Here is a 10471-nt window from a genome sequence, read left to right as displayed (position 1 = left end):
GCCAGCCTCAGCCAACCACCCCTGCAGCTCCGCCCCTTTCCTAAAACGTCACAGGCCGGGGACCTGCAGGATTTGGGGCCGGTGGGGGGGAAAACGGGGTTAGGCTGTCCTAAGATATGCCTGATGGTCTTGGGCTCACTCCAGCCGCGCAACTCCCAGCCCAAGTATTTTGTAATCTCTAGTATGTATGTGTGCGAAAGGCAGTGGGTAAAGGCGATAAACAAATTCGTGCTGTTGTGAAGGAACATTCTGTGCGATCGCAGGAGCGCATCTGGCATTATCCGGGGATAACTACAGCCAACATGCCAGGGCATCTGGGGCAGAATACGGAAAGCGGGAGGGACAAATTGCCAATGTTTGGAGTCTGGTTTCCAGGTTGCCGTTTTTGGGGGCTCTGGGTGTGGCGGTTGCCGTAGCTGAAATTGGCTGCACCATGTCGGCCTTCGAGAAGCCTCAGATCATCGCCCATATCCAGAAGGGCTTCAACTACACGGTGTTTGACTGTAAGTGGGTGCCCTGCAGCGCCAAATTTGTGACCATGGGCAACTTCGCACGGGGCACCGGCGTCATTCAGCTGTACGAGATCCAGCACGGGGACCTGAAGCTGCTTCGGGAGGTGGGTGCCGGGTCGAGGATCCGGACTGCCGTTGGGGGCGAGTGCGGATCCTGGGGTCTGCATTCCTCTTTGCCAGAGCCTTCGCCCAGCGTCCCCCAAAGCATGGCTTGAGCCGCGCGAGACCAGAGAAGCTGACCGCCGACTGAGGAATGTTTCCTATTTAAAACCTTTCTTCTCATCCGCGGGGTAGTTCCTCCGCGCCCAACCGTCCTGCCACCCCCAGTGCAGTCCAGCCAAAGCGGGCACCAGGATGCCTGCAGTGTGGTTGGAAGAGGCAACCTAACACATTCGACAGGCATCAGCTGAGTGCCTGGTATTCCCAGGGATGTGAATGGTAATGTCCCCCATCTCATGGAGTTTATTTTCTAGTGGGAGAGATACTCAGTTCAATAATCAAAGCAACGATACATAAATACAAACCGAGATGAGTTGTCTCACACAAAGGAACACGGTTACGGTTCAATGAGAGTGAAAACAGATTTGGGATGAATGAAAACAGATTTTGGTATGTGCAGAAGCTAACTAGGTCAAACTAGGAGTAAAGGACAAGGTTTCCAGGGCTTCTGCACATGCAGAAGCTCAGTGATGGGAAGAAGTTTATCTCCTTAAGAAACTAGAGGGATAAGCAGGAACCAGACATTGCAAGATCTGTAGGACATTCAAAGGATTTATGCCTTTTTTCTAAGAAAAAACGGACACAACTGAAAGGATTTAAGCAGGGTGTGGAAAGATTAGGTTTGCAAGGTTTTTTTGAAGATTACTAGTGAAAGAATTAGAGAATAATGATAGTAACTAGCATTTTATAGCTGTTTATAGTTTTTAAAAAGTGTTGATTTTGTTACCTGAAAAAATGATCAGTCATTATCAGATCAGGGTTGTAATAGACTACAAGTGCAGGGTAGGTTAACTCTGGGGATCAAAACCTATGGAGAGAATCTGCTTGGAGGAGGTAGGGATTAAACTGGTAGATAAAGGATGAATACAATTTGGACTGTTAAGCCTAGAATAGAAAGTATGTAAGACCCCATCCCGCTTTAAGTTTCCCTGAATGACAAACATGAAACATGGCTTATTTTTTTCTACCTTTCCTTCGTTCCTTGTATTGTTCATCACTTAGCTTCTGGTAACCAGTGGCTTTTTTTTTTTTTTTTTTTTTTTTGAGACAGGGTCTCAATCTGTCACCCAGCCCGGAGTGCTGTGGTGCAAACACAGCTCACTGCAACCTCCGCCTCCCCACCTCAGCCTCCCAAGTAGCTGGGACTACAGGTGTGTGCCACCACACCTAACTAATTTTTTTGTACTTTTTATTTTTTTATTTTTTATTTTGGTAGAGATGGGGTTTCACCGTGTTGCCTAGGCTGGTCTCCAACTCCTGGGCTCAAGCAGTCTGCCTACATCGGCCTCCCGTAATACTGGGATTACAGGCGTGAGCCACCAAGCCTGGCTACCTGTTGCTATTCCAATGTTCAGTTCAGATTATCTAATGTATGATGCCCTTCCTGATTTCTACACAAAGTAAAATTTCTTTACATTGCATTTTGGGTTGTTTTTGTTTTTTGTTGTTGTTGTTTAGGGATGGCGTAGCTCTGTCCCAGTCCGGAGTGCAGTGCTACTGTCATAGCTCATCGCAGCCTGGAACTCCTGGGCTCAAACCATCCTCCCGCCTCTCCCTCCCAAAGTGCTGGATCAGGTGTGAGCCACCATTAAAAAGAAAAGGTATTTAAAGGATTTATTCCTTTTTCTTTTCTTTCTTTCTTTTTTTTTTTTGAGACGGAGTCTGGCTCTGTCACCCAAGCTTGAGTGCAGTGGCGTGATCTTGGCTAACTGCAACCTCTGCCTCCCAGGTTCAAGCGATTCTCCTGCCTCAGCCTCCCTAGTAGCTGGAATTACAGGCACATGCTACCACGCCCAACTAATTTTTTTGTATTTTTAGTAGAGATGGGGTTTCACCATGTTGGTCAGGCAGGTCTCAAACTCCTGACCTTAGGTGATCCACCCGCCTTGGGCTCCCAAAGTGCTGGGATTACAGACATGAGCCATTGCACCTGGCCATTTATTCCTTTTTCGAAGAAAAATGGGACATGATTGAAATTTTTTTTTTTTTTTTGAAACAGGGTCTCACTCTTGCCTACGATGGAGTGCAGTGGCAGGATCAGGGCTTAGACCTGTGACTTTTTAAAATAAGAACAGGCCTGGTGCAGTGGCTAACGCCTGCAATTCCAACACTTTGGGAGGCAGTGGGGTGGATTGCTTGAGCCCAGGAGTTCAAGACCAGCCTAGGCAACATGGGGAAACCCCGTCTCTACTTTTTGTATAAAAAAAATACAAAAATTAGCTGGGCATAGTGATGCGAGCCTGTAGTCCCAGCTACTTGGGAGGCTGTGGTGGGAGGATCTCTTGAGCCCAGGAGGTCAAGGATGCTGTGTTCGCACCACTGCACTCCATCCTGGGTGACAGAGAGACCCTGTCTCAAAAAATAATAAAATGAAAATATATGATTTGTATGTATTTCAAAAGTACACTTACTCCATCAAGTGGAATAGAGTAGTTTGTCTTTTGTAGCGACTCTGGGGAATTTCAGCAAATTTTAAAAAGATAATTTTCTTTTGTAGCAAAAATAATATGTGTCCACGATAGAACATTTAGAAAATAGGAAAACGAAGAAAATATCACCCATAATCTCAATGCCAGGAATAACCACTAAGTGTATTTTCACGCCGGGTGTGGTGGCTCACGCCTGTAATCCCAGCACTTTGGGAGGCCGAGGCGGGTGGATCATGAGGTCAGGAGATCGAGATCATCCTGGCTAACACGGTGAAACCCCGTCTCTACTAAAAATACAAAAAATCAGCCGGGCGTGGTGGCGGGCGCCTGTAGTCCCAGCTACTCAGGAGGCTGAGGCAGGAGAATGGCTTCAACCTGGGAGGCAGAGCTTGCAGTGAGCCGAGATCGCGCCACTGCACTCCAGCGTGGGTGACAGAGCAAGACTCCGTCTCAAAAAATAAAAAAAGAAAAAAGAAGTATATTTTCACCTGAATCCTTTGGATATTCTTTTTTTCTACCATGAGTTGTCTGAGAACACACTATTTCAAGGTACTGTGTTTAACAAGGACCGAAGAGATTTAAAAGTTGAGTCCTTTCTCCTAAAGAGCCTACTGTCCAAAAAGAGGGTAAAACTAATACAAAAATACCTTTAAGAACTTACACTGGGCTGGGCGCGGTGCTCACACCTGTAATCCCTGCACTTTGAGAGGCCGAGGCGGGGGGATCACAAGGTCAGGAGAGCAAGACCATCCTGGCCAACATGGTGAAACCCCATCTCTACTAAAAAATACAAAAATTAGCTGGGCGTGGTCAGGTGCGTGCCTGTAAACCCAGCTACTCAGGAGGCTGAGGCACGAGAATCACTTGAACCCGGGAGGCAGAAGTTGCAGTGAGCCGAGATCGCGCCATTGCACTCCAGCCTGAAGACAGAGGAAGACTCTGTCTCCAAAAAAAAAAAAAAAAAAAAAAAACTTCATTGTGTTTGGCTGTTCTGGTGCAATGGAAAAAAATTTTTAAATATAGGTTAAATACTGGTCCAGTAACTCCCACTCCTTACTGTGCATCAGGATCATTTGAGTGCATTTTGTGGCTTGTGTGTGTGTGTTTTAAAACATTTGTGCCTTGGTCCCACCCCTAGAAATTCTGACACAGTAGTACAACTTTGTTGCATCTGGAGTAAGGTTTAGAAATCAGAGTATTTTTAAACTTCCGCAAGGTGATTTTAATGAGTCTCAGAGCTGAGAACCATTGAGCTAGATGGGTCATTTATTAAAATATTAGGAAACAGACTTGATGTATCATCGTAGATCTACCCTTAAGTCATGTGCTCCAAAACTCATGCATCGTTCTTTTTTTTTTTTTTTTTTTTTTAATTTATCACTGACTTGGAGCTCACAAAGCCCGTGCATCTAAGAAGAAAAGATGTAAAGGAAGCATATCAGCATATCAGTCTTTGTTGAAGTCTTCTTTATCTTAGTTCTAAAAGGATAGATAGGGAATGGAGGGCAGGGCCTCCGTGTTCAGTTGAGCAGTTTTTTGCACCACACAAAGGTGTCTGGCTGAGTGCTCAAGTGGGAGCTAAAAGCTCTTTTTCCTTCATCAAGCCTTACATGTGTGAGACTTCATCAGCCTATAAAAGGCAACTTTTTTCTCATTGGCACAAAGATACCATATGGACTAGGGATGGCCCTGAAAAATGGAAACACAGTTGTAGATGTTTATATTAAAAAAAATAGCAATAAGCTAATAAAATTCTGCTTTTTTAGCCCCTGTGCTACCGAATTTACTGCTTGTTAGCATTTGGTTGGCTAGATCTTTTAATGTTAATTAAGTATTGCCAGGATGTGGAGGAGGAAATACTGACAAGCTGTACTAGACCCACCCACATGCAGAACAAAAATAGCTCACACAGGAATTACTGATCTTGAGCTTCTTTAATCATTTTAACTTCTTATAGCAAGAAAGTGAACAGTTAGGTCAATTATGACCATCATTGATGGCCATTTTCAGTATCACATAGCAAAAATTGTTAGTATATATTGATTTTCTTTGTTGAACAATTTTTGCAAGATAGAGCTGCTTTTTTTTTTGCCAGCTAGTTTTCCAGCAAGAAAAATTTTGATTTACCACCAACTTCTTTTCATCTTTTCTTTTCTGTAGATAAACTATCTAATGGGGCAGAGAGGGAACCCGTTTGTGAACTATGAAAAATTAGCTTCACTAGTGTCCTCTTAATTTAGCTATTATTATTATTTCCATGAATGTCTGAGGAAAGAGGAAACATGGCCACTTTTGTAAGTCAGTTTGCCAACAGAGCTCGGCCCTTCTGAGCAAAGTGCAGTCCTCAGTGCACACAAATGATAAGTTTTAATACGTTTAATATGTTCATAATACGTTTAATACGTTGAAGATATACAGTTTGAGTTTAATTTGGTTCTTGCACAGCAGACCACTAATGACCATAAATATCTTTGTGTTTCTTTAAGAAAAGGACAAAGAACATGAGGGAAGCATAATATCATATATTTATATCTTGTAAAGACATGAATGAAGGTAAAAACCAAAGGGCAGAGATCTGAAAGTAGGTTTAATTCATGCCGTTGTGCCATTTACCTCAGCAATCAAGATCGGAACATTTCTTTGATACTTCCAATAACGCTCAGGTTTACAGAATGAGGACTCCAATAATAAAATGTTTATTTAATTGATTTACATATAAGCCTGGAGGCAGCCTAGTTTAGAGGAAAAAGTCTGGATTGTATCTGGCTCTTGGGACCTTAGGCAAGTCACTCAGTCCTCTGAACCTGTTTCGTCATCTTGAAAGTGGTGTTCTGAACACTTAGTTTGCAGTGTTGTATATATTAGAAAAGGGATGGTCTAGACTGGAAGAATATCTAAAATGTATCTGAAATGTAGGTGTTCAATAGATGGTTGCTATTTTCATGATTGCATGTCAATGACACCAGAAACTGAACAGTTTGTCAGAACCCTGGCACATGAAAGTATGGTAGGAGAAAAGAGAGAGCAAAGAAAGTGAACTCCAGCCCTGGTTTGTCTGTCCCTAGTGTTAGGGCTGAGAGATTCATGGATGGTCATTTATACCTTCATTCAACAAATGTTGAATGCCTGCTATGCGTTAAAAAAATTAGGCAAGGCCCTGCTCTCATGGTGCTCACATTCTAGAAAGGGGGACATAATTGCATGAATAAAATAATTTTGTTGATAAGTATAATGGATGATTAAACAGGGTGAGTGACAGTAATTTAGGGGTTTTTCAGATTGGAGGGACAAGGAAGACCTCTTTGGGAATGTGGCATTTGAACTGAAATCTGAATGAAGAGAAGGATAGAGGCATGGTGACCTGGGGAAAAGTAGTCCAAGCAGTGGGAACAGCAAATTCAAATGGCCCAAGTGGAAGAGACCTTGACAAGTATGAAGAACAAAAAGCAAGCTGTCTGGTGTGGCTGGAATTAGTAGAGAAGGCAGGAAACAGGAAATGAAGTCACACACACAAGACCAGATCCCAAAGGACTTTTTGCATTTTGTATACCATAGGCCTTCATGCCACTCTTGTGAGTCTGTGCTTCTCAATGTAGATACATTTTACTTCTTTCCTTTATATTTGTAATAAAGACATACTTTTAGAAGGGATGCAATGACAACTGTGAAAATGTATAGAGCTTATTGTGTAGACTGGTTGTCAGTTTGGTTTCTTTCCTTTGAAGGTAGCAATTCTCAGACATGTGCAGGTGTCAAAGAATCTGCACATTGCAGTGCTGTTTTTGGAACACCATAAAATATTGGAGTAGTCAGTTCTATCTCTGCACAGGGAAGAGATTTTCAGCAGAAAAATCTGACTATATATAGAGATAGATAAATAGATAGAGATTCCGATTTTTACATCACAAGTAACCACACAGTTTTTAAGTCTTCACTTCCAAGGTTTTATTTTTATTTTTATTTTTTTATTTTATTTTATTTTTTGAGACGGAGTCTCTCTCTGTCGCCCAGGCTGGAGTGCGGTGGTGTGATCTTGGCTCACTGCAGCCTCCGCCCTCTGGGTTCAAGCAGTTCTCCTGCCTCAGCCTCCCCAGTAGCTGGAATTACAGGCATCCACCACCACGCCTGGCTAATTTTTGTATTTTTAGTAGAGAGGGGGTTTCACCATTTTGGCCAGGCTGGTCTTGAACTCCTGACCTCAGGTGATCCGCCTGCCTCAGCCTCCCAAAGTGCTGATATTATAGGCGTGAGCCACTGCACACAGTCCAAGTTTTTTTAACTGGTGTTCATTTGCTAGTATTTTCTACCAGGCAAGCTAAGAAAATTATTTTTAAAAAAACTTTAAAATCTGAAAACAACACATGCATCAGCTTTTGTTCTTGGTGAATTTTCTGATTAATGTATTATGTTAGTAACAGAAGATCAGTGTGTTCCAGGAGTATAGTTTGAGATTCTCTAGTCTAAAGGGTCTAAAAGTGAAAGTTGGGTAAAAGAATAACAGGGAGGAAAGTTTTTGCTTCCAGTTTTTTATTTTTATCCAGCAGTAAAATTTTAGAAGACTGTAGGGAACCAAAGAGTGTAGGTTAGTTTTTACCTCTTCCATGGCCTAGGAATCACAGAAACCCTCATCAGAGGTTTGAGGGGACAGCGGTGGAATTCTGGGAAGCAGAATGCTTTAGCTGGTTGGTGGGAAGAAAATGGGAGACCAGTCTTCCCAGTGCTTCTCTGAGAAAAATGTTCCCAGAGAATTGGGTCAATAGATGATGCAAGTTCTTCACAGCTTCTAATCCCCTGTCTCCTGGAACCACATTGCTGTGCATGAGGACCACCAGCTTCTTACCTCAGAGGGTCTGCTTCCACCCTCTGCCTCAGAACATGGAAGCCATTATCAGTGGCTTAGAGCTGGCAAGACCCAGGTTCAGTGTGAGACCAAGGGGAGGAAAGAGTGGATAGCCGTCTCACCAGTTGGCATAGGTTGGAACTCAGAATTAATTTCACCATAGAAATTGTGCCCTAATAGTGATTAAGTGCTTTACCACTGTTAATATATTATTTCAGGTACTTTTATTTGAGGAGAGGGGAATGGTGAGGAAAACATAAATTGCCTGCAGTTAGAAACCATGTGCTTTGTTGACAAAATTTTGATCCTCTGTGTTGCCCCATTTTCAGATACTCTTTTTCATAAAATTGGGAAAAAATGGGAATAAATGAATATTAATTTTCTGCGGCAGTGAATAACTGATGCCATCTCAGTCCACTTGTGCATTAAAAAGAGAAACATTCTGTGGTTCCATGCTTCTCATCAATAGGGTCTTTTACAAACATGTTACTGTACGTGGCTGATTTCGTTTACTAGACAATTCTGAGGAAGGTATGAGTGCTTTTAGACTTGGCCACGTAGTAACTCCAATTTATCTAGATCACAAACAATAGGAAAGTTCAACAGTCTGGGAGTTTCCAAAGCCCTATACCATATAATGGTAACCTTTGAATCAGAGAAAAAAAGTTGTTATAGTTTGTGTTAAGTGACTTCTATTTTATTCGTGAAAATTGCTATGTATACCTTATATGGATAATATACCCTATATAGAAATGCCTGGATAAACATTGAAAGTGGCAGGGAAATTATTTTTAAAATTATTTGAAACAGGCCAACCTGGGAGGGATGAAGAGAACTGAAGAGTTACAAGGGGAGATGTCCTGGAAACTGGAGAACACTGCAAAAGGAATAAAGTTTATCCAGATGTATTGTTAAGTGAAACACATCAAAGGACAGTGTACCATGATCTGCCTTGTATTGAAACAAAACCATGTGTGTTTGTAAATGCGTAGAAGGCCTAGAAGGGTGGGGATTACTTCTGGAGAGTGTTAAAGGGACTCACTTTTTCCTTCCATCCTTTTGTTTTGTTTGAATTTTTATAGGGAGCAGGTATTACTTTTATAAACATTAAGAATTTAAAAATGTAAAAATTGTTAGAGACCAAGAGGAATAGTTTTGCCCCATTGAGGCTGACAGTCAGTGGGAAGTGTTATATGGCAAGAGTGTGATGTGGGACAGATATCAGTGGCCTCATCTAATTCCAGATTCCGGAGATCTCGGGAGCCAAGGCAGCAGGAAAAGCAGTTAGACTGTAGGAGGGACTTCAGTGACCTGGGCAGGTAGAGTTGGCGGCGGGAGGGGCCATGGAGAAATCAGAAACATCAGGAAGTAAAAGAAGGTGAATAGAAGACCCAGGGAGGCATAGGAGTAGTATAACGAATATGTATATTTTGGAGGAACCAGATAAGAACTGATATTTGAGTTGTTAGCTTTTTGAGGGACTGGCCAATCTCATTCATCTTTGTATCCTCTTTTGCCTACTTCAGTGACTTGCATGTAGTAGAAACCATTAAATGTTGAATGTTGTATGAGTTCGGCAAATCTGTACAGCCCTATGCTTTGGTCTCCTTTTATGACAGGAGGGTATTGTGTTAGATCCTTTCCAAGGACCTTTTTGGCTACATAGTCTTCTTCACCTGATTTCCATAAACCCCATACGTTAAATAATATATTCGTATGTGATTGTTTTACTAATGTGACTATATACAATACTTGGTGCAGTAGCCTTTTAAAGTAAAGAAACCTCAAAAGATTGGCTGATCCATACTAATAGTAGCGCCTTGGTACACACAAGTTTATAAATCTCTCTGCATTGAAAAGGCCCCAGAGAAAGTGGGACATAAACATCTTTAGTTTATAGGGTTCTGCAGGGAAAACTATAAGAGACACATAACATTTTTGTTCCCATAACCATCTGGAAAGATAATATCTTCATTATGTTCTCATTTCTGCTGAGGATCTTAAAGAATATCACATGAAATGCTGAAACTTTCATATTTGCAATAGAGATTGTAGAGCTGTCAGCATTTGAATGTCTCATTAGTGAGAGGAGAGGAAAGGCAAATTAACACTTTTTCTTTTTGACAGTTACATATTTTAAAGAAAAATGAGTAAAGGAAAAAGCAAGATTATTTTCATCAGAAGATGTTTTAATTGCCTTTTATATTGTCTTATTTAAATGCCATAATAGAGCCATAAATATGATATTAATAGATTATAAATATCTGCTTACATAAATAATATATCCTCTCTTCCTCCCTTCTATGAAGATTGAAAAGGCCAAACCTATTAAATGTGGAACATTTGGTGCAACATCTTTACAGCAGAGATATTTAGCTACTGGAGATTTTGGTGGAAACCTTCATATATGGTAAGATGATTTAGTCAGTATTCAGACAGATGAGATAGGCAATTTATTTGATAGTTTCATT

The 10471-nt window shown here is 41.6% G+C and overlaps 1 protein-coding gene across 3 annotated transcripts in view, besides 4 other annotated features; it reads left to right on the top strand.

Annotated features, from left to right (window-relative positions):
• Positions 58-297: an enhancer, noted in NCBI's record as "active region_15946". NCBI's record gives its function as "activates an Ori minimal core promoter by ATAC-STARR-seq in GM12878 lymphoblastoid cells {active_cell/tissue: GM12878}" and the evidence as "EXISTENCE:reporter gene assay evidence [ECO:0000049][PMID:35858748]".
• Positions 58-1107: a biological region, named in NCBI's record as "H3K27ac hESC enhancer GRCh37_chr2:68383902-68384834".
• Positions 175-1107: an enhancer, noted in NCBI's record as "H3K27ac hESC enhancer chr2:68383902-68384834 (GRCh37/hg19 assembly coordinates)". NCBI's record gives its function as "activates a minimal SCP1, AML or CMV promoter by ChIP-STARR-seq in primed H9 embryonic stem cells {active_cell/tissue: H9 hESC(primed)}" and the evidence as "EXISTENCE:reporter gene assay evidence [ECO:0000049][PMID:30033119]".
• DNAAF10 (dynein axonemal assembly factor 10) overlaps positions 350-10471 on the top strand; it is a 27723-nt gene continuing 17601 nt past the window's right edge. For 2 of the 3 annotated variants that reach the window (NM_138458.4, NM_001256476.2), the window contains exons 1-2: positions 350-616; positions 10310-10410. In NM_138458.4, coding sequence (NP_612467.1) covers positions 434-616; positions 10310-10410 — 284 coding nt within the window. In that variant the 5' untranslated portion in view covers positions 350-433. The remainder of the gene's footprint in view (positions 617-10309; positions 10411-10471) is intronic. The other variant, NR_046234.2, reaches the window with a different exon arrangement.
• Positions 578-717: an enhancer, noted in NCBI's record as "active region_15945". NCBI's record gives its function as "activates an Ori minimal core promoter by ATAC-STARR-seq in GM12878 lymphoblastoid cells {active_cell/tissue: GM12878}" and the evidence as "EXISTENCE:reporter gene assay evidence [ECO:0000049][PMID:35858748]".

This window comes from Homo sapiens, chromosome 2 (assembly GCF_000001405.40).
Source record: "Homo sapiens chromosome 2, GRCh38.p14 Primary Assembly".
NCBI lineage: Eukaryota > Metazoa > Chordata > Mammalia > Primates > Hominidae > Homo > Homo sapiens.
This window is presented reverse-complemented; position numbering and strand designations above follow the sequence as displayed.